Raw genomic sequence first — 26,821 nt, 5'->3', positions numbered from 1 at the left:
TAGCAATTTTTTTGATATCTACCCTTAAGATATTAATTTGTATACTGTATTCTTTTAAAATATAAAAGAGGCTTTATTTCTTTTGTTTTGGAGAGTTTTAACTAGTTTTTGAAATTTGGATGAATTCTTACGTGGTTTTTTTTCCCCCTCAAAGTCTGGGTCAGTAACCATTTTCTGCAAATGGCCATATAGTAAATATTTTAGGCCTTGCTGACCACATACAATCTTTGCCACATATTCTTCTTCATTTATTATGACTTTCTGGAATGTATAAACCATTCATAGCTTGAGAGGCTCAGGTTGCCAGTCAAATTTGTTCCACAGGCTGCCGTTTGTCAACACCTGCTCTAGACTAAAAATTCTAATAATGACTTACGGTCTGAATTTTGGGATTAATGGTGGATATTCAACCAAAATTAAATGGAAATACAAATCAGTTCACATGATGGGTGGTAAAGCCAAGAGAATGCCTAGCTTCAGGCTTGGCTGGATCCAGAGGTCAAATGAAGATAGCACTTGCAATCTCACATCTTGTGACCTCCCTCAGACTCTCCCTTTACAATAAAAGAGGATAATATCTACTCATTTATATATCAACATTTAAGGAAGTCCCTGATTTCCTTGGGTTATATACCTGTCCTTGAATGAATCAGTATGGTGGAGGAGAAAAAAGGGTGATGATGGTGAGGATTGGTGTTTGACCCTCTTGTGTAATAGTAGAAATGTGTTGGAGAAGACATTTCCAATGGTACCACGTGGAGAAGAGGTAGGAGATAGCTCTCCAGAGAACTTTAAAAATAAATAAGCAGTGCACTCAGAAAAAGGGTTTCTGTACATTAAAAATAGGTGTGTGTACTTGATCATCTAAAGTCACTTGAAAATGCATGTGTAAGTTGGAAGATAACAGTAATTATTTGAGTGGAATAATTACTTATGGAATGAAGATCTTAAATCCACTTCCCTCACCTCTTCGTCCCTGCCCGATTTTTATAGAGTCTTATCAAATACATTGACATTGATGTTTGCTTTGACTTCTTGTGTAACAGAAGGAATCTTGAAGAAGCTGGAAAGTTTACTTATTTCATTGCTAGAATACTTTATCATGGTGGGGGAGACTATATTTTGATTGTGGGACTGTGTAATAGGTCTGATGTGTATCTCAGATTACCATATGAAAGATTAACATGCCTTTAACATAGATCATGTAAGAATGGAAGATAGCATAAAAACAGGACAGCGAAGATTTATTATTCAGTTGTCTATTTCTAGTTTTTAATTAACATAACATAACTAAGAGTAAAAGCCATTCCAGTATTGGTAGTGACCTACCTTTGGTGACTCCTTTTAAGTAGGCAGACATTTCTCCTTGAGCTCATTTCTCCTGCAAAATGATGAGATTGGAATCATTAAATAATAGTCTAATGTAATGAGAAGTACATTTTAAAATTTATAAAATTTCAAGTAGACAAGGAAAGTAAATCATGTAAGCAGGAAGTACCCCAAAGCATCTTAACTATTCTTACATAAGAGTAAGTAAAATATCTAAGGTCATTGTCACTCCTCAATCTGATTCTCTTACAATGTTGTTTTAAAAATTCAAAGCTTGCAACTGGATACATACAGTTTTAATTATATCACATTTCGAAAGCCAAACCTTGCAAATTGCCGCTGTTTTGAAAGACTGAAACCTTGAACTTTGAATAAATCAGTTTTTTTTTTTAATTAGGAATACATGTTCTTTTTTTTCTTTATTTTCCTCCCTTTCTTCTCCCCTCCCTTCCTTTTCTTCCTTTTCTTTTCGCAAGGTCTTGCTCTGTCATCCAGGCTGGAGTGCAGTAGTGTAATCTATGGCCTTGGACTCCTGGGCTTAAGGGATCCTCCCGCGTCAGCTTCCTAAGTAGCTGGGACTATAGACATGCATCACCATGCCCAGCTAATTTATTTTTATTTATTTATTTTTTGTGGAGACACAGGGTCTTACAGTGTTGTTGATGCTGGTCTCAAACTCCTGGGCTCACCCATTCCTCCAGCCTCAGCCTCCCAAATTGCTGGGATTTCAGGCATGAGCCACTATATCCAGCCTGTGTTTTTTGTTTGTTGTTTTGGTTTGGTTTTCTTGTGAGGACAAGATCTGCGTTGCCCAGGCTGGTCTCAGACTCTCAGGACTCAAATGATCCTCAGGCCTTGGCCTCCCAAAGTGCTGGGATTACAGGCATGAGCCACCATGCTCAGCCTGTTTTTGTTTGTTTGTTTGTTTTATAGATACGTCTGTATTGGAGAACAGAACAATTAGGATTTTTAGGCAGACCATACTAACTGCCAGTTTCATCTTTATCCAGAGGTTTAAAGATTATAGTAACAAGGGCATATATACTTATACCAATATAATAAGGTCAAGAATTTTGAGGAAAAGAGTACATCTACATTTATACCTAACTTCATGACACAAAACCTTTGGGGTAAGAGTATATTAATCTAACCAGTGACATTCTGGTTGAGTGGCATCATAAAGGTAAATGATAAATGTAGTTTTGCTGCATTACAGAGCCTGGGAAAGGGGGGTGGGGAGAGAGGGAGGGAGAGAGAGAAGGAGGGAGGGAGGGAAGGAGTGGGGGAGAGAGAGAGAGAAAGAGAGAATAAGAGAGAATTACCTACAAGGGATCAGGAAGGATCTTTTTAGAGTAATGGAAATGTTTGTGTCTTAATGGTGATGCTGGTTATATGGGTAAATACATTTGTCAAACTCTGAACCACTCACAATAAGTATATTATTATCACATTTAAGTTATAGTTGAAGACAGTGTAAAAGAAACAGTGAAGTCTGTTTTAGGACATGAATAGTGAAAGAGTAAAATAAAGTTTGATTAAAAAATATGTCATCACTTCAAATCAGCAGTGTAGCCCACAGTACATTAATTTGAATAATTTATTTTTAATGTCACTAAATAGATGCAAAAGTGTGTGCTACTGTCTATTACTGTATCATGGTATGTATAAAGATATTTTAGTATTCATGAATGAAGTACTGTGTAATACTAATGACAAGAATACAGGGTTTTTTTTAAGTGCTTTGTTATAAGCAAAAACACTGTTTTTTGGTGTGTTTTAATATAATGTAAATTTGCATTTTTTTCTCTCTAAACTGTACATTCGTAAGTCTACTTTAACTTAGTCACACAAATCCAATAGAAAAGCAAGTGTAAAATTGAATACTTTCTGAAATACTATTTTAAAATAATTTATGAATTTTTAAAATATTAAATGTGATGCTAATTAGCCAAATGTATTACCAAGCTAGCTCCCTAGATCTATTGCCATGCCCTGTCTCTTAGGTGACCAGATTGTGTGCCCTGACAAAGACAGCATAGGATATTAGGCATATGATTATATCAGGTAATTCTGGCAGTATGCTATGTAGAAAATCAACCTAAAAATAAGATTGAAATTTAAGAAACTCTTAAGCCAATCATCTTTTCCCAATTAAAGTTTCATTCTTTGATTCTTTTATGTCAGCTTCACCTGTTTAGATAATCTTTCACGAAAGTTATTTTGAAAAAGGCCCAAAAGATATAGTTTAGATGTCTAAAAAGTAATGCCTGTCTAAACATAGATTTTTATCTTTATAGCTTCTGTTTCATGTTTGCAGATTCTTGAATAAGTTGATTTTTCACTTAGCAACTCTCCTTTTAAGTCTGCTGTAAAGACCATCCCAAGTTGAATGAACTGAAGTTTTAATTTGAGTCTAAAAGATCAAGAAAATGTCTAGAATCCTTTTTACTGTTTCTCTCCCAGTTCTTTTACTGCTGCTTTTCCACAAAGGAGTAAAGAATTGTTTTTCCCCTTTAAAGCAATGAAATCAGCAAAATTAAAACTTCCTGAAAAGAAGTAAGTGACCAGGACCAATTGTATAATTAATTAGTCTCTGAAAAAGTTAACAGCTGTTTAAGATGATGCTGAGTTCTCATGGAAATATGATTGGTAACTTTGGAGACCTTTCACTGTTGGAGGTCTTTGTTTAGATTGAGTATACTGCCTAGTATGTCATTTGTGGTAACACTGTGAGGGTTGGGCAAGGGTGGATGCTGTCTTGGCTTTCTTATTGTTCATAAAATAGTAATAAACTTTACTTAATTGATACACCATTTTCGAGCCTATTGACCTGTAAAGGCATTAGTTAGCTTCCAGAATAACATGTAAACTGTGCTTAATTGAGTCTCCCCCCTAATTATCCAGTATTTTATAAATCAGTCTTCCTAATAACCTTCAGTCCAAGTGCATGTACCTTTCTGATGGGTGGTATAACTCATTTTATTCTCTCATACCTTATTGATGAGCCTTATATAAACTAACTGAAATGGGACAATATAAGAACAGTGTAACAAAGTTGATAAACTTAATGACGTTTAGTAAATTCTTGAAATAAATGGTATATACAAAAAAACTCGCCTTTGTTAGTGGAGAAGAGGAGCAGGAGAGAAAAGAACTTTGAAAGAGGAGAGATAGGCAGGACTTTGGGGATAGCTTGGGTCAAGGTTGGGCCCAAGTGAGAAGACCGATCCTGAACTGGAGTGCCAAGTACCATTAGCTTTTTCATTATGAATAGGCTGTGGAAATAAAGCTAGTAATACTGCTGGAGAGGTTATAAAAATATTCTGTGAAGTTTTGAACATGATGACCTGAAGAATTTTATAATTTTTAATTAGTGATAATTTCTCATTATAAAATTACACTTTTCCATTTTCTGTGGATAGGTTTAAGAAAATCTACGAAGAAACGCAGTGAGTCTCCACCTGCTGAGCTCCCCAGTTTGAGGCGGAGCACACGCCAAAAGACCACGGGCTCCTGTGCTAGTACCAGGTAATTTGTTTTTTTTTTTTTATAGTGAGTTCATTTTTATTCTGTTGCTCAATTTCAACTTTCATCAAAATACTTAACTCCATAGGTTGTTTTTTGTTTTGTTTGTTTTGTTTTGTTTTTTGACGGAGTCTTGCTCTTGTCACCCAGGCTGGAGTGCAGTGGCGCGATCTTGGCTCACTGCAACCTGCGCCTCCCGGGTTCAGGTGGTTCTCCTGCCTTAGCCTCCCTAGTAGCTGGGATTACAGGTGCCTGCCACCCCACCCAGCTAATTTTTTTATTTTTAGTAGAGATGCGGTTTCACCATGTTGGCCAGGCTGGTCTCCAACTCCCAACCTCAAGTGATCCACCCTCCTCAGCCTCTCACAGTGCTGGGATTACAGGCGTGAGCCACCGTGCCCGATGATTTTTAAAAAATTATTTAAATTTTTTTTTACTTGAGTAAAGACATATTCTAACATAACTGGTATTATCTTTGTGAATTTCTCCGCAATATTTATTTACATGTTTCTACTAAGTTCTAATCATTCTATTTCTTGACGATACTTTTATCTTCTACTTTTCCTTTGTTGTTAACGCTATTTTCACAATACTGTTGACAGTAGCAGGACCTTTGACTGTTTACAGAGTTCTCGTCTGCCAAATATACTTCTAATGAGCATCTTTATGCAGATTTGGGTTGTTTTTAAAAGGTAGTTAAATTTCCCAATAGTGTGATTAATGAATCAAAAAGGATGCCTGTTTTAATGGCTGTACTGTTGCCCAGTTGGTTTCTAAAAGTGTTAGAACTAGTTGCTAAGTTTAATGAATGGAGGGGGAAATGTACTTAATTTTTATAACACCTTTCGCTCAAGAAAAGGTGTAGTTATTATGTGTGTTCTCTCCCATCTCCAATTCTAGATTCTAGTTGCTGTAGATCTCACTTTCAAAACAACTATCTTTGATGTGATACAGTTAATATTTCATATACTTTTATTAACTGATTGAGAATCTTAGCCTAAAGGTAAAAATCTCCTGCAACTTCCTCTCGGCTTTTCAGGCTTGGTCGGTTAGTCAGGTGCCATTCCGCTGCTAATTATTCAGTAGCTATATATGAGTTCTCCGTCTTTGTGTAAGTCATGCCACTTTTTTCTTTTTTTTTTTTTTGAGATGGAGTCTCACTCTGTCGCCCAGGCTGGAGTGCAATGGCACAATCTCGGCTCACTGCAAACTCTGCCTCCCGGGTTCACGCCATTCTCCTGCCTCGGCCTCCCGAGTAGCTGGGACTATAGGCGCCCGCCACCATGCCCAGCTAATTTTTTTTGTATTTTTAGTAGAGATGGGTTTTCACCATGTTAACCGGGATGGTCTCGGTCTCCTGACCTCGTGATCCACCTGCCTCGGCCTCCCAAAGTGCTGGGATTACAAGCGTGAGCCACCGTGCCCGGCCAGTCATGCCACTTTTAATGAGGAGGACACGTTCTGAGATATGTGTCATTAGGTGATTTTGCCATGCAAACATCATGGAGAACACTTAAAACAAACCTAGATAGTATAGCTTACTACACATCTAGGCCGTGTGGTAGCCTGTTGCTCCTAGCCACAAACCTGTAAAACACGTTACCTTACAGAATACTGTAGACAGTTGTAACACCATGGCAAGCATTTATGCATCTAAACATATCTAAACATAGAAAAGGTACAGTAAAAATAGGGTATTAATAATCTTGCAGGACCACGGTCATATACGTGGTTCGTCCTTGACAGAAACAACATTATGCAGCACATGACTGTAGCTTGTTCCCTCTAGTAAATGCATCAACACTAGTAATGCAGGGGGGAATGATTTTAGCTTACGTTTTCCCACTCAGGTTAGCAGAAAGGTCTTTCCACTTCTTTTGGTTCTTATCTCTACTCTTGGCGGTGTTACAATAGCGACATAAGTAAACAGTACAACTTGGTGCCTATAAGTCATAAGAAATATAGCTTTGCCACCTTAAATCTTTTCAACCTGTTTTTAAATTTTTTAGATTGTTTAAAATATCTGGATTTAGTACACCTGTTTGCTTTTGAGGTTGCATAGCAACTTTTCTGAGGATTTCTGAAGAAACTTCTTAGTTTTCCAGAGTTTTTGTCCTATTTTGGGCCAAATTTTGAATCTTAATTACTCAAGGTTTAGTCTGAGATGCAAACTGGATTTATTGTGTCTGAAAATTAATTTTAAGCCATATGCGAAGTCAGGTAATCTAGTGTTGTAATTGTCTTGCTTGCCCTGCTGTTCTCTGCAACCGTCTCTCCTTCTACTCAACGATAATTAGCACGTGCGAAATTACCCACTGAGGCATGATCATGCTGTGCGCAGGCCGTCTAATCTAGCCACCTGCTTGAAGTGCTCTTCATGGCAAATCTTTTCTGAATTAGTTGAGATTCTGCTTATATACAGTGCCTTGGTCACCTACTAAGGGTGTCCTTGTTTCTCTTTAGAGTAGCACTCCTTGAGGGCAGCAGCCCTATGTATCCAAAGTGGTCAGCCCAGTGTGTTGGTGGAGATTAGATCTTAAATGAGTGAATTTGAATCCCACTAATTTGTACCTTTGTAAAATGGGTTGGGAATGAGCTGTTTCCTTGTGAAGGAAAGATTAGTTAAGCAAATTTCTGTGTAGGGAAGCTTTTTCTGTAATGAGAATAAACTCTTCCAGTGCTCTCAGGTAAGCCAGAGCCTTCCTTTGTAGGTCAGTTGTGCCTGCTTCTCTCACTTTACTGTAGTGTGACTTTAGTCTAAAACATGTCTTTAGTAACAGGTTTCTGCCTTTCTTGAGATAATTTGGGGAGCTTTTGTTTAAATGCTATCAAGTTTGAATAATTTTGGGGGAAGTATTTTTGCTTCTCCCTGGTTTGCTTACTGATTTCGCTGTTGAAGGAGAAAAAAAGGTTTATTATCAATAAAATGTAATTTTCTATAGGAGAAATAAGTGGTCATTCTTTTTCCATAATTTATTCTGTGTCTCTGTCCTAGATGAATATCTTTCCCAAATGTTATCTGTATTTATTAATAATATTAAATCCATAATTTAAAGAATGGAGTTATTCATTATTAGGATAGTTATTTTTATATGATTTAGGTAATCTGGAACACGGGCTGGGAAATTTTTTTCCATCTCCTCCTCCTCCCTTCCTCGCATTCTCAATGTTAATCTGCAGTTCTTTTGTATAATTTTTTTGTTGTTGCTGCCGCCCAAGATGGAGTGCAGTGGCATGATCTCGGCTCACTGCAACCTCCGCCTCCCGGGTTCGAGCAATTTTTTGTCTTGGCCTCCCAAGTAGCTGGGATTACAGGCGCATGCCACCACACCTGGCTAATTTTTGTATTTTTAGTAGAGACAGGGTTTCATCATGTTGGTCAGGCTGGTCTTGAACTCCTGAGCTCAGGTGATCCACCTGCCTCAGCCTCCCAAAGTGCTGGGGTTACAGGCATGAGCTACCGTACCCAGCCAGCATTAATATATTAATCCACTATTTACCCTGGAAGTGATGCTCTATTTTAAACGAATTGAATTTTCTCTGCAGAAAGAGTCACTTTTCTTTTTAGTTGGAAGTGTTTTAAAAATCGTTTCTGTTTCTGAGGATGACAACAGCTCACAGTAACAAAAGCTTGTATTGTAAATGCAATATAACTTGGAAGAATTTTAAATATACAAAGTCTTGGTTGTTATACATGGTGATTTTGTGCACTTACTTTTATTTAAAAAGAGGACGAAGAAGAAACTGGCTTTGTGCTCCATGAATTTGAGCTTTGTGTTGTGTATACATTGCTCCTGGTTCACTGGTAATGCTGCCCATGATGACATTTTTCTGTTGTAGTCGGCGAGGCTCTGGCCTGGGCAAAAGAGGAGCAGCTGAAGCTCGTCGACAGGAGAAAATGGCAGACCCTGAAAGCAACCAGGAGGCAGTAAATTCTTCAGCTGCTCGGACAGATGAAGCTCCCCAAGGAGCTGCAGGTAGATTGGTACTTCTTAGCTTTAAAATGCGTTTCTGTCTTTTACAGATTTGATGGGCAGAGGGAGGGAAGTATGCTAGGTGTTACTATCGTATAAACTTCTTGTTCTGTTTTGTTTTACTTTACCAGTTTGATATTTTGATTAGTTGGATTTGGTTGCCATTTTAAAATTCTCATCCAAATTTGCTCTAATTACATTCAAAAGGCTTTTAGGAAGAAGCAAACTCTGTTTAAGCTTTTTATATATTGACTAGTGTGTATAATTGCCCATTGATTGAAAGAATTTAAATTCATAGTAAAAATGTAAGGATATAGTTTAAATTGCTTCACACATATATAAATTTTAATTTAGAATTTTTGTAAGCCCTAAAATACAAGTATTCAGTTTGAACCTTAGCTGTAAGAATAGTATTTATATTGTTATGGGCTTCTCATTTTTATTCTTGATATATTAGAAGCACAAAATTAAGGCTTTTCTCTCAGCTTTAAATAATGTACCCATTACCTGTACCAAAACAAGGCTAATACTTCAACTATTAATTCTGGCTGATGGATATCAAAATGTAGTTTCTGTTGACATTTCTCAATGACATGAACAACTGATAAAAAAATGTTAAAATCAATCACTATAGGCTTATATGTATGAGTCCCTTAAATCAGATGATACACACAGGTTTAGATACAGGCATATACTTCCTTTTGAATAAAGATATTTCAGATACTATTGTTTACTATTAGGATACGTTGTCATTTTCTTTAATGTCTGTGGTTGATCATATGTCATAGTTTGCCAGGAAGGTTGTGGTTTACCCGCTATTGATGTCTTCTTGTTTTTTCTAGCTTAGGATTTTTTTCTTTTAAGCACTACACTTTCTTAGTTTTATATGATAAATTATATGGTGGGAGAGGAGTTTTTTCCCATATTTGTTTTCCTAGAATAGTTTTTTGAAGGTTTAAATGGTAGATATTTGGAAAGTCCATTTAATTGCAACTCATTAAAACTGGTTGTGACTCACAGTCTGTCCCAGTGCTGTACGCTCCTTCCCAGTCTTCTAATGTTTATTTGAAGCCTGAATGTGGAAATGGGGCAATTCCCAAATGGGTAACAGAAAAGGAGCTGCAGGCTATTAATGTAGACTCACTACAGTAATTATTATAACTAATATACAGTGTACACTACATTGCAGTCCAGCCATAGTATTAAGCACTTTACATATATTCTTATTTAATATTCCAAACAACCTGCTGAGGTATGAGTGTTATTATTACCATTTTTTAAGTGAGGAAAAACGGAGACAAACATTGCTTATGCTTGCTCAGGGTTACAAGCTGTGATGTGTGACTTCCCAAAGCCAGGCATATTTGTAACAGCATTGTTGTCTAATGCAGTTACAAGAGTTTATATAATTTATACGAATATATAATTGAAGGCTGGAATGGGAACGGGGTTCAAAATTTTGTTCCCCTATTTATTTACCTAAGAGGATAAAAGCATACAGGAATCAGGCTCATCCGACTGCCTTTCTAAACAGTTCCAGGCATTACACTGTCATTTATGTTTCAAATTACAGTGTGGTACAGGTGTTTCCCAAGCTGTGTATTGTAGCTGGTGATAAAAAATACATGTGGCATGTGCACTTGTATTAGAAAACTGACTTCATTACATTTTGGAGGATAGATCTCTTATGAATTATAGGAATTTCTCTGCTGACTCATGAAAGTATTTATGGGGAAATAAGCTAATTATTTAGCAGCTTTACGTTAAGTTCTTCATGATAATGTGCTTTAGTTTCTGCATGTGTAAAATGGGAATGTAGAAGAAAATACCTAAATTAGTATGGTGTATAGGTTTGTGGACTTAGAGCTCTTTTTGACAAGTAAACGTTTTCGGATAGTACTTGTATAGTCGATATAAGACTCCATTGGAAACATTTATTTGGAAATAATGTTGTTATTATTTTAAAAAGCCCAACCACATTAGCTCTTCATGTAAGAAATGCTAGCCTTTGAAGTTGAAAGTGTAGTGTTTGCCACGCTTTCCCACGAGTCAGAGGCAGACTCCTGTGCATTCTTTTTTTTTTTCTTCTTTGAGGAAAAGTTTCTCTCTGTTGCCCAGGTTGGAGTGCTGTGTTGCAATCTCAGCTCACTGCAGCCTCTGCCTCCTGGGTTCAAGTGATTCTCTTGCCTCAGCCTCCTAAGTAGTTGGGACTACAAGTGCCTGACACCACAGCCGGCTAATTTTTGTATTTTTAGTACAGAAGGGGTTTCACCATGTTGGCCGGGCTGCTGTCCAACTCCTGACCTCAAGTGATCTGCCCACCTTGGCCTCCCAAAGTGCTGGGATTACAGGCGTGAGCCTCTGCACCTGGTCTGCTATGCATTCGTAGATTTGGACATAATCAGAACTGTACAGACCTTTATAGTGTTGATAAAGTCTTGCAAATGCTAGTGGTACTAAAGTAAGGAATGAACTATTTTTCTTTATGCTTGTAAAATAATGTCAGCTTCATTTTGCATTGGGTAGCTTTATAGTTTCGGAAGAAATGATCAGGGTTAGATCACATAAAGAAAGTGGTCCAATTTTGTTAACTTTGCATCAATTGGTTAAAGTATAAAAATTTGTCACTCCATGTAGAATGTTTGCATTCTGATTTAGACAACATCTCTCCAGTATTTTCACTTGTGTGTATTGGAAACTGTCTTACACAGTACTGTGAAGATAGGCTAAGACTAAACGGGAAATATCTGTTGAAAATCTGGCATTGGATTTTATCTACTGATAGTCACATTTTTATATTTGACTCTGGGAACAAATCTGGCCTATGCCTAAGGAGGTTTGAAGCCTTGACGAAAGAACTGTAGCTGACTGCTGTTGATTAATTACATTTTCGTATCTGCATGACCTTACAGAACAGCTATCTCTATACTACTACTTAAATTAGCCAGAGGCTTGGCTGGTTTAAGTCTTCTAATTTTGTAAAACATACAAAACTAGTAGTTTTTTTGTTTTTTTTTTGTTTTGTTTTGGTAAAACCAAACTAATTTTGTAAAACATATACAAAAATAGTTTTTATATATGTTTTACAAAATTAGATAACTCATAACTCATATCTAAACTCCCACTTTAGATAACCTAAACTACTTCATAAAAGGGAACAAAAGCTTAATACTTGCTATCAGAGGTATGGCAAAAGAATCCTTTTCTTCACAATTAGTTTCCAATTTCTGTCAAAACCAGCACCCTACCCTCTACTGATAATCAGACTTCTGGCAGTAGCTCACACCTGTAACTCCAACATTCAGAGGCCGAGGCAGGTGGATCACTTGAGTTCAGGAGTCTGAGATCAGCCTGGGCAACATGGTGAAACCCTGTCTCTACAAAAAAATACAAAACTTAGCCAGACTTGGTGGCATGTACCTGTGGTACCAGCTACTCAGGAGGCGGAGGCAGGAGGATCGCTTGAGCCCTGGAGGCGGAAGTTGCAGTGAGCTGTAAATTGCACCATTGCACTTCAGCTTGGGCAAGAGAGCAAGACCCTGTCTCAAAAAAATAAAAATAAAAAAGATTCTGTGGCTCCCCAAAGGTTGGGACCCTGCTATAATAGAACCTTAGCATCTCTTTTAATTATGTTCTTCTATAGGTTTTATGTTTTGATTAATTGATGTCTTTGTGGCAGTGCAGTTTGAGATATTCATTATGAAAGTCGTTAGAATAAAATATTTAAGAAGTAATGTTAGGTAGAAACCTTTAATGGTTGTAGGTCTGGAGAACATTTTAAAGTAAAATCAAGTAGATTCTCTGATAAATAAACTTAAAAACCCAGCAGTACTCTAACAGGTTAGATTTCTGTGTGTTTGTTTTTTAATGTATGGGCTCCAGAGTGTGTTTTAAAAAATACCCACTATTTCATTTGTTAAAACTCGGTATTTGCTTCCTACATAGATGGAATAGTCTTAAGATAAGTTTAAGAGCCATTTCAGTTATTATTGTACCTAGTAACAGTATTCGTTAACAGCATTTCTGTATAATGTGAAGAAGCAACTGTATTTGAATTAAAAATCACTGCTAAAGAATATATTTGAGTCATACAGTTTCTAAGGGTACAACCTGTGAAGTCAGACTTCCTGAGTTCAGATCTCTCAGCCATAACTAGCTATCTGACCTTGGCCAAGTATGCTCAAAGTCACAAAACCTTAGTTTCCTTATGTGCATGATGATTATAATACCTTTTGTACAGTTATGAGGAAACTTAGACAATGCCTGTGTTGTATGGTAAGCGTTTTCATAAATGCTGCCTACCTGTAAGTAGCATTATAGTGTGTAGTTATTGGTTAATTTCCTTTTTCTTTACCAGAAGTGTGGGTTTTGCCCAGCCTTTATACAACTTCAGTATTTCTGGTTAATCTGTCTCTCTATGGCTCTAAACTTTTCAGAGTGGTGGGGGAGTTACCAACACTTTTGTAAAAGGCCAGATAGTAAATGTTTTATGCTTTATGTAGTCTCTGTTGCAAGTACTCAATTCTGTAATTATAGCGTGAAAGCGGCCACAGACTTGTAAATGAATGAGTACAGCTATGTTCTAATAAAATTTTTATTTACAAAACCATGTGGTGGACTGGATTTGGCCTTTGGGCCATATTTTGCTGACCCTGTTTTAAACCATAAGCTTTTCTAAGAATTTTTTTTTTAATCCCAATAATGAAGTTACATAGAAAATACTTAATGGTGTGTGAAGAGAATGGTAATATGAAAATACAGTCAGTGGCTGGTATTTTGGCATCTTTTTCTTCAGACAAGCTCTTTAAACTCGCATATGTTATTCACACATGCCTCTTTAACAATTATGACAAAAATATTCTTCCTGGCTTGCATTCTGTCACAATCTGTGCAGTATATAGGGCTTAAGGTATTGTGGAAGAGCTTATGTAGATCAATCATCTGTGTTAAAAAAAAAAAAAAACCCAAAAAACAAACAAAAAAAACCTTTGACCTCAGCAGACACATAGAGGCACAATTAACTGCTAGTTTTGCAGGAATATGGTTTTACTTCCTGTTCAGATTTATAATAGACTCTACCTCCATTAGCTTAGACTGTTTTTTTGTCATTGTTGGTCAGGTTAGTATTTCGATTAATAGTATCCTGAGTCTTAACTCTTCATTTCACACTAGTTTTGACACTTTAGTTGCCCTGTCTTTCATACTTCTTGTTTTTGTTTTGAGACAGAGTCTGGCCCTGCCGCTCAGGCTGGAGTGCAGTGGCACGATCACGGCACACTGCAGCCTCTACCTCCTGGGCCCAAGCAGTGCTCTCGACTCAGGCATGCCCAACTCAGTAGCTGGGACTACAAGTCTCACTATATTGCCCGGGTTGGTCTTGAACCCCTGAGCTTAAATGATCCTTCTGCCATGGTCCGCAAAGTGTTGGTATTACAGGAGTGAGCCACCATGCCCAACCTCCTTCATGCTTCATAGCAGTCATCTGTTAGTTGTAATATCTTTTTGCACTCTTGAAGTTAATGAAAACAGATAAATGATTGTATCAAGACTGTAGTCCGGAAATAAAGCAGACTTAGAAGGCAGACGTCTACATACAACATTTCCCCCAAATGTCTATTTTGCCTTTTTATTATTTTTGTTACTAATTGGCCATCTGTTAAATAATCACAATTGTTACAGCAGTATGTTCTTTATTGACTTTCAGAAGAGGGATTCAGGACATCTTAATTAAAGAACAGTTTCAACGGCACAAGAAATTTGTCAAAAGCCACATATAAATGAAAAACAAGCATAAAAATACAACCTTTTTAATACTAAAATAGTTGAGCTCTCCTTTCATTCCTAAAAGCTACAGGATAAAGTCTAGAAGAACAGCTGAGTGTACAGTAGCAAGACAAGTTTAATTGCCTTTATTCAATTGTAGTCCGCAAAACTTTGGTTTTTCTAAGGTAAGCCAGACATAATGTGTTTAAGTGCTCCTCCTAACCCTCATCTTTCCCCTCCACCCCAAGCCTCTAGTTCTGTTGCAGGGGCTGTTGGCATGACCACCTCTGGGGAGAGTGAATCAGATGATTCCGAGATGGGACGTTTGCAAGGTAAAAACAGTTATTGAGCCTATAAGAAACCATTACCATGAGCTACCTGTTAATACCATTCTTTATTGAAATTAATTTAGTTAAATTCATTTGACCATAATCTAGCAGTGCCTGCACCTCCAAGAAAAAAAAATTTTTAGTAGCAATTTCATGATTTGGAATTGGAAGATGAGCTGTCCGCCTCTTCGTGTTTACTGTTTCACTAGATGAAGCCTTACATATTTATTTTTGTTTAAAATTTTTAAATTGTGGTTGCATGTGTAGCTGGTTTCAGTAATAAATAAGTTAAAAATCTTGAAAAATGGGTACCTTAATATATTTTTGTCTGGTATCCAGTAGCATTATGAATGCATTTAACCCACTTAGGCCTAGTGTTCCATTATTGGAACACTAAGAATGTGGGAGTTATTTATATCCTACTGCTCAAGGCCATCACCAAGGTCGGACTTTTCACTCATGCAAAAATTCAAAAAATTGCAACCTGCAGCATAAATGGGTTTTAATAAGGCGTTTGGCCATGGTTTTTTGTCTTCTTGATCATGTTTCAAAATGAATGTATAGTGTATACACAAATTGTAGGGTTTTTTTAATGTTACAAATGCTTTTACAAAAGCAGCCTAATACTATGTATGGATGGGTATGTATTTTTATCTCATTTGATTTATAACAGATCTCAGTGTGAGGCTTACAATAAATGTATTATTTATAAATCATTTTTTATTGCTTTTAAATTCCTGAGGGAACATACAAGTATCTCTAGGACTCGGACTCTCAGGAACACATAGTTTTTGTTTGTTTGATTGTTTTGAGACCGAATCTCACTCTGTTGCCCAGGCTGGAGTGCAATGGCACGATCTCAGCTCACTGCAAACTCCACCTCCCGTGTTCAAATGATTCTCCTGCTTCATCCTCCTGAGTAGCTAGAATTACAGGTGCCTGCCACTGCACCTGGCTAATTTTTGTATTTTTAGTAGAGGCGGGCTTTCATCATGTTGGCCAGGCTGGTCTTGAGCTCCTGACCTCAGGTGATCCTCCCGTCTCGGCCTCCCAAAGTGCTGGGATTACAGGTGTGAGCCACTATGCCTGGCCTGTTTTGTTTTGTTTTCACTTTTTGGAACTAATAAAAATCATACTGTTTTCATATGGTTTTATAGGTTCTGATGACCAATATCTGATTGGGAAATAATGTCATACAGAAAACAGAGCAAGGGTGCTTAACATATTAGCTCTTCAAAATATCAAAATATTTACCTTAGATTTTTCTTGAAATATTTACACATTCCTGCTGGCACTGATTTAATATATTAGGGTGGTCTTGAAAGTTTGTAGCTTCTCTTAAAAGTCCAGAAAGCAAAGTAACATTGACTGAATCAGTTAAGCGAGATGAATCAGTTACTTGAAATTTTTAGATACATCAGTTGCATGAAGTCATCTTAGTTGTTCACTCTGCCCTTCTTTTTTCTTTAGCTTTGTTAGAGGCAAGGGGTCTTCCCCCTCACCTATTTGGTCCTCTTGGTCCTCGGATGTCACAGCTTTTCCATAGAACAATTGGAAGTGGAGCTAGTAAGTAAAAATGTTCCTTCCCTGAAATCCCTCAATAATTAGCCAACTGCTATTGTTACTTGTAACCTATTGATGTAAGTATTAAGAAGTTTTTCATCAACTTTAACCCATTTTTAAAAATAAGGCTGTGTACAATCACACCTTAAATACAGCTTTCATTGCTGAATTATCCAGATTTTGTAGCGAGATTGATTCTGTTTGAACAAAATAAGAATAAAGAATCTCAAACAATTACATTGATAATTATGGCACCTGATGGCATGTTTTGCATAGATTTGAATCTTGAGTTTGTCATAATGATGTATTTGTCAAGGTGAGAGGATAAAATATTAAACAGTTTGCTAGCTGAATTTTTTATAACTTTAAATATTTGGACATAAGGATGTTGGTTTTCATGTGTACTTTTTATATATATATATTTTTTTTGAGATGGAGTCTTGCTCTGTCGTCCAGGCGGGAGTGCAGTGGCGTGATCTCAGCTTACTGCAACCTCTGCCTCTCGGGTCCAGTCCTCCCACCTCAGCCTCCTGAGTAGCTGGGATTACAGGTGTGTGCCATCAAGCCCGGCTAATTTTTGTATTTTTAGTAGAGATGGGGTTTCACTATGTTGGATGGCTGATCTCGATCTCCTGACCTCAGGTGATCCGCCCACCTTGGCCTCCCAAAGTGCTGGGATTACAGGCATGAGCCACTGTGCCCGGCCTGTTTCCTTGAATTGGATCAAAATATGATCTATACATTACAATCAGGTAATGTTTCTTACCTGATTTTTGTTTGTTTGTTTGTTTTTAAGAGAAATTTGATTTTATTTATCACTGGGGAGAAGCCTGGAAAGGAAAAAAAAAAAAAACAAATCACTGTTGCAGGGGGTCCCTAAGGGTATTGATTTTAAAGTATCTGAAACCTGTATTTACCATCAACCTTTACACATGAACTTAATATAAACCGTAGACTAGCACTAGAGTCAAAAACAATGCCACACCTCTTTGTGCCCATGACCCAGCTTCAACAGTGCCTACTTCATATTTAATCTTTATTTCTAGCCTCATTCTAATCCTTCTTCCCATATTAGTTTGAAATGAATCCCAGGCATTATATACAGTCATGTGCTGCATGATGATGTTTCATTCAACAACAGTTCACACACACTACATTAGTCCCACAAGATTATAATGGAGCTGAAAAATGCTCATCATCTAGCTAATATACAGTACAGATTTTTAAACCATACTTTTATCATTTAGAGCCAGGGGAGTCCAGTCTTTTTGCTTCCCTGGGCCACATTGGAAGAAGAAGAATTGTCTTGGGCCACACATAAAATACGGTAACCCTAACTATAATAACACTAATGATAGCTGTTGAGCTTAAAAAAAAATCTTACAATATTTTAAGAAACTTTACGAATTTTTGTTGGGCTGCATTCAAAGCCATCCTGGGCCATGCATTGAACAAGCTTGATTTAGAATGTATTCCTTCTATATACTAAAGAAGAACATTAACTGTAACCCTCAGTAGTAGGTATTCCAGAAGAAGGCATTGTTGTCATAGGAGATGACAGCTTCATGCCTGTCATCACCCCTGAAGACCTTCCAGTGGGACATAAGATGTGGAGGTAGAACGTAATGATACCGATGATCTTCATCCCGTGCAGGCCTAGGTTAATGTTCGTGTTTGTGTCTGAGTGTTTTAAAAGACAGTTTAATAACCAAAAAAATAATAATAATAATAATTTTCAAAATAGGAAAAAGCTTATACTCTATGGATATAAAGAAAGAAAATGTTTTTGTACAGCTGTTCATTGTGTTTGTGTTTTAAGCTAGTTAATACTACAAAATAGTTAACAAAAGTTTATGAAGTAAAAAAGTTACAGGAAACTAAAGTTAATTTCTTTTTTCTTTTTCTTTTTTTTTTTTGAGACGGAGTTTTGCTCTGTCTCCCAGGCTGGAGTGCAGTGGCGCAGTCTCAGCTCACTGCAACCTACTCCTCCCAGGTTCAAGCGATTCTCCTGCTTCAGCCTCCCCAGTAGCTGGGACTACAGGCACGTGCCACCACGTCTGGCTAATTTTTTGTATTTTTAGTAGAGACAGGGTTTCACTGTGTTAGCTAGGATGTTCTCGATCTCCTGACCTTGTGATCTGCCTGCCTCAGCCTCCCAAAGTGCTAGGATTACAGGCATGAGCCACCATGCCTGGCCAGTTAATTTCTTTAAGAAAGATATTTCTTAAAAATTTAGTATACATAAATATACAGTTTACAAAATTGATAGTAATATATAGTCTAGGCTTTCACACTCACTCACCATTCACTCACTCACCCAGAGAAACTTCCATTCCTGGTAAACTCCATTCATGGTAAGTGCCCTATACAGACGTACCATTTTTTAATCTTTTATATCATATTTTTACTCTACTTCTTCTATTTGTAGATATATTAACATATACAAATACGCATTACAACTGCCTATAGTATTCAGTAAAGTAACATGCTGTACAGGTTTCTAGCCTAGGAGCAATGGGCTAAACTAGACAGCCTAGGTGTGTAGTAGGCTGTACCATCTTGGTTTAGGTATACTCTATGATGTTTACATGACAAAATAGGTCAAGAAAGCATTTCTCAGAACATATCCCATTTGTTAAGTGACACCTAATTTTAATCTATAAAATTTCATCATGTAGTTCAAGATAATGCTCCTCAAAACACACAGTCACTTTATCACACTTAAAAAATAAAACAGTAATTTCTTAATAATAGATACCCAATAGATGTCAAAGTTTCATTATCTCAATATCATAATTTATTTCTTGCAAACTGGTTGTTGGATCTAGAGACCTCTTCAGATTGAGTTTCGAGCCTTTATCTTCTTTTCTTGGTAAAGAAAGCCTATTGAAAAGTCATAGTGTGTTCTTAGGAAGTACATAGTGTCTGTATTTTAACAAGCTGTTGAAACTAAGTACCTATGTAATAGGGGTTACAAAATGGTAGTATTTTAGAACTAATAATCACTTTTCATTTATGAGAAGTAAAGAAAGTATTAATAATTTAGTAGAAATATATAAAGGATATCTTCTTCTCACCTTCTATTTGATTGCCTAGGACAATAGTTGATACAGGAAAAATTATTTTTCACTCTTTACTGGTTAATAAAAGGAGTAATTTTTATGTCCTCCAAAGGTGCCATTGTTATATTTTTGTTTTGCTTTTTAACATGTTTGTTTTTAAGTATAATTGTAAGCAGTGGGTTGAGATGTGTATTAAACATTTCAGTGATTTTCACTGATACTTGAATTGTCCCAGCATTGGATGATGGGATCTTTTTGAGTTTGGCTTCTGAATCTTTTGGCCATAACCTTAGTAATTTTTGATAGCCTCTTATTTTCTGGTATGACAAGATGTGCCAAACTCAGTTGACTTATTTTTTTCTCCCTGCTATGATTTGGCTATGTACCCACCCAAATCTCATCTTGAATTGCAATCCCCATAATCCCCACTGGGAGGGACACAGTGGGAGGTAATTGAATCATGGGGGTGTTTTCCCCCATGCTGTTCTCCTGATAGTGAGTTCTCACTAGATCCGATGGTTTTATAAGCATTTGGCATTTCCCCTGTTGGCACTCATTCTTTTTTCTGCTGCCCTGTGAGGAAGTGCCTTCCACTGATGGTAAGTTTCCTGAGGCCTCCCCAGCCATGCCAAACTGTGAGTCAATTCAACCTGTTTTCTTTATAAATTATCCAGTCTTGGATATTTCTTCATAGAAGTGTGAGAATGGACTAATACACTCCCCATACCTGAAATTGTTCATTTCCCCATAGATCCTTGGTTTATTTTGTATTTGGAGACCACAGTCTGGCATATTCATTTCTACTGGGTTGACCATTATTTCTAGACTTTTAAAAGTTGATGCTGATACCACCAATTCATATTTAGGTCTACAGGGTTTTTATTTAACTTCATTGATGTTATGTCTCCTTTCTCCAATGGTGAGTGTCCTAATTCCCAATAATTATAATATAGTGACTCATTTGCTTTATCCCACAGTACGAGATTTCAAGTTGCTGCTGAAAGTATTATTATTAAAAAAGTTAAAAAGTGTTTTTACAGTTCTTTCTGTTCCTGGGATATTTTTTACTTTGTGTTAAAATTAATGTGTTTTAAAGTCATTTGAAATCCATCTCTTTGTTTATGCCACCAAGTTGGATTGTTTCATTTACTTCATTTTGCTTCTGATTTTTAGGGACTGCTTTTTAAAATTTATGTTTTGCTTTTATAATTATGTAATATTTACATAGTTCTAAAAGTCAAATCTACAAACAACATATATTTAGAAAAATCTTATCTTCTTTTGCTTTCCATTTTCCCTGCTTCTTCCTCTCACATAAATAATCTTTTAAATTTTATGCCTTGTCCTTCTGTTATTTACTTTAAAAAATCCATAAATATCTATATTGTCCATGGGAATGCCTTTCTCAGTTAAGAGTAGCAAACTTTATACACTTTACTTTGCTTTTGACACTATATTTTGGTGTTCACTCTTCGTGTTCACTCTTCATAGCTGCCACATGCATGTTGCATGTTCAACTGATAGGCCTTTGTAAAGCTGCCACGTTACTCCATTGTGTGGGTATACATAGTTTATTTATATAGTCCCCTGTTGGACATTTGAGTTTTCAGTTTTTTTTTCTATTGGCAAGGCTTCAGTGAAATGTAGCTTTCGTATTTTTTCAAGCATTATCTTTTGGATAGATTTCTAGAAGCAGGTTTGCTGCTTAAATGGGTGTAAATGCATACGATGTTTTTGTAGGTGTTGCAAACTCCCCCCCATTTGGAGTTGCACCATTTTGCGTTTCCACCAGTCATGTGTGAATGACAGTAGTATGGTATCAAGCTTTTGAATTTTTACCAAAATTCATTGTTTCTCTAATATTAACTTTTTTTAGTTATATGTATCTTCGTATATTTCTTTTAGTGGTACCCTAGAGAGTATAATGCAAATTCATTGGTTTATTATAGCATACCTTAAATTAATACTTTATCATATCTCAAACAGTACAAGAACCTTACAACAGTTTATTAACACTTTTTACCTCCTGCCCTCCTTTATGTTTGTTGTATTTAATTTGTTTTACCTATATATACGTGTTATAAACTTGATAGGACGTTACTTAGAATATCTGTTTTCTTTTATGTTTGCCAACATGCTTAACCTTTGCAGTGCTCTTAGTTTCTTCTTGCAGTTTCTTTTTTCTTTAAAGGATTGTTTCCTTCTAGCCTAAAGAACTTTTTTTTTTAACATAGTGTCAGACTATTAATAATGATTTCTTTCTGTGTTTGAGAAATCCTTGATGTGTCTTTATTAATTTATGAATGAATTAATGAGATGCCATCTCGCCATGTTGCGCAGGCTAGTCGCAGACCCTTGGCCTCAAGTGATCCTCCCGCTTCAGTTTCTAAGTTGCTGGGGTTACAGGCATGTGCTTTATTTGCACTTATTTTTTGTTGTTGTTGTTGTTTTTTTTTTTTGAGACAGAGTCTCCTCTGTTGCCCAGGTTGGAGTGCAGTGGCGCGATCTCAGCTCACTGCAAGCTCCGCCTCCCGGGTTCACGCCATTCTTCTGCGTCAACCTCCCGAGTAGCTGGGACTACAGGTGCCTGCCACCACACCTGGCTAATTTTTTTTTTATTTTTGGTAGAGATAGGGTTTCACCGTGTTAGCCAGGATGGTCTCGATTTCCTGACCTCCTGATCCACCCCACCTCGGCCTCTCAAAATGCTGGGACTACAGGCGTGAGCCACCATGCCTGGCCAAGCCTAGGAAGCAGAGGTTGCAGTTAGCCGAGATCGGGCTACTGCAATCCAGCATGGGACCCTGTCTCAAAAAAAATGTAAAAACCACTTATTTTTTAATAGCTTGACTATATAGGGTTTAAGTGATGTTTCCTTGACCCTTAATGTGCTTGCCCTTCACTGAACTTTTGAATATGTGAGTTGATATCTTCAGTTTTAGAAAATTCTTGGTCATTATTTCTTCTAGTATTGTTTCTCTTATCTCATCATCAGATTTTCTCCTTCCTTTCCTTTTGGAGAGTATCAGGATCATACACATTTAAACTTTACACTGCATCCAGCATGTCTCTCTGGCTCTGTTTTATTTTTGGTTTTGTTTTCAGAATTTTTTCTCTTTGCCTAGTTGGAAAACTTCCTATTGATCAGTTTTTAAATTCACTAGTTCTTTTTTCTGCTGTCTTCAATCTTTTGTTAAACCCGTCAATGAGTTCTTAATTTCAGATACGTTTTTCAGTTCTGAATAGTTTTTTGATTCTCTTTATAGATGCCAATCATCTGTTGAAAATGTGTATATTCTTAATCAATTTTGTCCATCTTTGCTTGTATTTTTAATACTTTATAAAACATTTGTCTTTTCATTCTAGAAGTATTGGTCTGCTTTTATTGTCTTTTTTTCCCCCACTTAATTCTCAGTCCCATATTCCTGCCTCTTTATAAGTCTAGTAATTGTTTGGTTATGTGACAGACGTTTTGTATAAAAGAACTAAAGTGGCCCAAAATGATATTTTCTGCTAGTGCTAGCTTTCTTTTTTCTCTACCAAAAATAAAGGGTCCAGAGCTGATCACTCTAACTTTAATCAGGACTTGAGCTTGTTTTAACCAGAGTTGTAATTTTGGTATGACTAATTTCACCTCTGGTAATTTTGGTATGACTCATTTCACCTCTTGCTAGTCACTGTTTTCTTTGTTGTGGCCCTCCTAGAATTTTGATTGACAACTTTGCAAATCTATGTCTCCTCAGATTTGAATAGTTGAGCAGTCTCAAAATGTGGCAAGTATCTTGGGAGTTCAGATTTGAATAGTTGAGCAGTCTCAAAATGTGGCAGATTATCTTGGGAGTTCAGGTACCAGCTGTGTGTCTTTGACGCCTACTCTCTCTGTTGAGATGTTGGCTTCTGAGCACCATGAGACTGCAGAAGATTTTCTTCTATCTTATCAAAACTTCTTACTCTCCCCTCTATCAGTTTTTTGTTTGTTTGTTTGTTTGTTTTGAGACGGAGTCTCGCTCTTGTCGCTCATGCTGGAGTGCAGCGACGTGAACTTGGTTCACTGCAACCTCTGCCTCCCGAGTTCAAGTGATTCTTGTGCTTCAGCCTCCCACGTATCTGGGACTGCAGGTGCACACCACCGCGCCCGGCTAATTTTTGTATTTTTAGTAGAAACAGCGTTTCACCATGCTGGCCAGGCTGTTCTCAAACTCCTGACCTCAGGTGATCCGCCCATCTTGGCCTCCCAAAGTGCTGGGATTACAGGTGTGAGCCAGGGTATCTGGCCCCTCTATCAGTTTTCACAGTTCCAGAACTCGGTACCTGTCTGTGGGCCAGTTGATTTCAACACATTAGCTTCTTGTGACTCCCTAAAGCACTATAGGCTTCTGTTTCCATTCCTATCAGAAATTAGCAAACTACTGCCCAAGGGCCAAATCCACGCTCCTGCTTGTTTTTATACTACCTGTGTACTCTTAAGAATGGGTTTTATATTTTACGTGGCTGAAAACATTTTAAAAGAGAATATTTTGTGATGTGAAAATTAAATGCAGATCAAATTTCAGTGTCCATAATGTTTTATTGGTATACAGTCATGTTCATTTGTTTGTATTAGTCTTACTTTCTATGGATACTTTCCAGCTACAGTGCTAGAGTTGAGTAGTTGCAGTAGAGACCATATGCCTGTAAAGCCCAAAATAATTGCTATCTCTCCCTTGAAAGAGAACGTTTTCCTGCCAAACCCTGATCTGTGATAACAGTTCTCAAAGTGTGATCTGTGGACTCTTGGTTTCTGAGAGAGACCCTTAAATGAGTTCTATAAGGTCAAAACTAATAATAGTTACCAAGATTTTTCCTTTTCTACTTCATTGATGTTTGAACTGATGGTGCAAAAGCTGTAATGGGTAAAACTGGTGGGATCTTAAGCATCAAAGCAGTGGCACTAAACGGTACTAGCAATCATTGTGTTTTTCACTGCCACATACTCCTAATAAATATAATTCAGTTTTTATCTAAGATGCCCTTACTGAACCAAAGTTAATTTAATTAGGTCTTTACTCCCAAGACATGTCTTTTTAATACTCTTTGGAACAAAATAAGGCCAATCTTTTCTATATACAGTTGACTCTTGAACAATATGAGTTTGAACTGTGCTGGGTCCACTTATTCATGGATTTTAAAAATAAATACAGTTAGCTTTCTGTATCCATGAGTTCTACATTAGCAACCAAATTCAGATTGGAAATACAGTGTTTGGGCCAGGCGCGGTGGCTCATGTCTGTAATCCCAGCACTTTGGGAGGCCGAGGTGGGCAGATCACCTGAGGTCAGGAGTTCACTACCAGCCTGGCCAACATGGTGAAACCCATCTCTACTAAAAATACAGAAAAATTAGCCACGTGTGTTGGCTTGTGCCTGTAATCCCAGCTACTTGGGAGGCTGAGGCAGGAGAATCGCTGGAACCCAGAAGGCAGAGGTTGCAGTGAGCTGAGACCGCACCACTTGTTTTGGAAAATAAGGTCTTTTAAAATCAAAATTATTTATATTAATATATAATGAGTTAACTGGCAAATATTTAAAATTTTTGTATTTCAATTAACATATTTTAAAATTATCAATAAATATAACCCACATAAACAAAAGTGCTTTGTGGTACCTCAGTAGTTTTTAAGAGTATAAAATGATTCTAAATTCAAAATCCACTGCTCTAGGAGTTGGTTTCTCCTCATAAATCAGAGGATAAATCAGGTTTTGGTTATGGTTTTGGCTTTTTGTTGTCATCTTCAGTTTAGTGTAAGTTATTTTTAGGAACATCCCAGATGTTTTATTGGTATTGATGATAATTTTGATTATGCTGTATAAGATCCATGTCCTTAAGAGTTGCCAACCCCAATGGTTATAAGACCTCCATCTAGTTGCATACATGTTGGTTCTTTCTTTTAGGGGGTTGTGCTCTTAGGCCATACTTGATATGAACTGTTTAATCCTTTTAAAGTCATGTTAGAATCAGTGGAGGATTCATTTGTTTTCACTATTTTTCTATCATTTTGTTTTTCCTTCCACATTATGTCAACACAGAAGTGATAAACCTGCTGTCACTAAAATTGGTATTATTTAGTTTAAAATTGTTAAATTGTATTTCCCTGAACTTTTCTTCTGGTGTATTTTTGGATGGATTTTTAATTATGGTAAAGGTAGGTAGGCAGCGATAGCTATGGAATGCAGTAGCCACAATCTTAAACCATAAAACAACTTCCATTGATTGCTATGTGCCCCTGTGAGAGGTGTACGCCCCCAGGAATATCACTGAAGCTCAGTTGAAATTATTAGGTTCAGTTTTTTGAGAATTTCACATTCATTGACAGTTTCCAGACATATATCCCATTTCTACACATTTCAGTACTCAATGATATAGGACTGGAAAAGTCCAATTTGCGAAGAATAACTTGAAAAGGTGTAAGAAGTGAAGGAGCTTTAAAAGTAACATCATATAAGATTGGTTAAGTGTTAATTTAATTAATTGTGGTTTCAAGTAGGAAAGTGTCCATGAAAAATGAAACACATTCATAGACTTTATTTTTTAAAATTAATTAATTAATTTTGAGATGAAGTCTCAGTCTGTGGCCCAGTCTGGAGTGCAGTGACATGATCTCGGCTCACTGCAACCTCTGCCTCTCAGGTTCAAGCAGTTCTCCTGCCTCAGCCTCCTGCGTATCTGGGACTACAGGTGCACACCACTGCGCTCGGCTAATTTTTGTATTTTTAGTGGAGATGCGGTTTCGCCATGTTGGCCAGGTTGGTCTCAAACTCCTGACCTCAAGTGATCCACTTGCCTTGGCCTCCCAAAGTGCTTGGATTACAGGCATGAGCCACTGCACCCAGCCTCTCTAGACTTTATTTTGGAGTGTATTGTTTAGCTTAATGACAACGTACTTCTCTGTGGTTGTTGAGTATTCACATTTTTCAATTGTTGGAGTAGTGGAATTAAGTCTTAAAAGTAGGAACATTCTAATAGCCATCATCTGTGCAGGAAATGAAAGAGGATGCAAGGGTTTATAATTGTGTGTGTGTGTGTGTGTGTGTGTGTGTGTGTGTGTGTGTGTGTGGTTTTTATTTTTACAGAATATTCTTTCCATTCTCTTTTTTGTTAGATACGTTGTTGTGTTTTTTATTTCCTTGCCCTTTCATTGTTAATTGGATTCTATTTATTCTGGAACAGATATTTAGAGGTGTATAACATTTCCTTTGAAGTATGGGCATCATTGTTTAACAGGTTTTTATTATTGTAG

At 37.0% G+C, this 26,821-nt stretch overlaps 1 protein-coding gene across 61 annotated transcripts in view, besides 1 other annotated feature; it reads left to right on the top strand.

The window, feature by feature from the left end:
- Positions 1 to 26,821, top strand: part of TRIP12 (thyroid hormone receptor interactor 12) — a 159,350-nt gene that overhangs the window by 77,508 nt on the left and 55,021 nt on the right. For 56 of the 61 annotated variants that reach the window (XM_047446397.1, XM_047446395.1, XM_047446390.1 and 53 more), the window contains 4 exons: positions 4,752 to 4,857; positions 8,695 to 8,831; positions 14,840 to 14,923; positions 16,391 to 16,486. In XM_047446397.1, coding sequence (XP_047302353.1) covers positions 4,752 to 4,857; positions 8,695 to 8,831; positions 14,840 to 14,923; positions 16,391 to 16,486 — 423 coding nt within the window. Of the gene's footprint in view, positions 1 to 4,751; positions 4,858 to 8,694; positions 13,435 to 14,839; positions 14,924 to 16,390; positions 16,487 to 26,821 lie in introns of those variants that run through there. The other 5 variants (NM_001348335.2, NM_001348336.1, NM_001348334.1 and 2 more) reach the window with 3 other exon arrangements.
- Positions 23,250 to 23,450: a silencer, noted in NCBI's record as "peak4073 fragment used in MPRA reporter construct". NCBI's record gives its function as "represses an SCP1 promoter by STARR-seq MPRAs in K562 erythroleukemia cells {active_cell/tissue: K562}" and the evidence as "EXISTENCE:reporter gene assay evidence [ECO:0000049][PMID:32103011]".

Source organism: Homo sapiens, chromosome 2 (genome assembly GCF_000001405.40).
Source record: "Homo sapiens chromosome 2, GRCh38.p14 Primary Assembly".
Taxonomy (NCBI): Eukaryota; Metazoa; Chordata; class Mammalia; order Primates; family Hominidae; genus Homo; species Homo sapiens.
The sequence above is the reverse complement of the archived record's forward strand: the minus strand, read 5'-3'. Positions and strand labels throughout refer to the sequence as shown.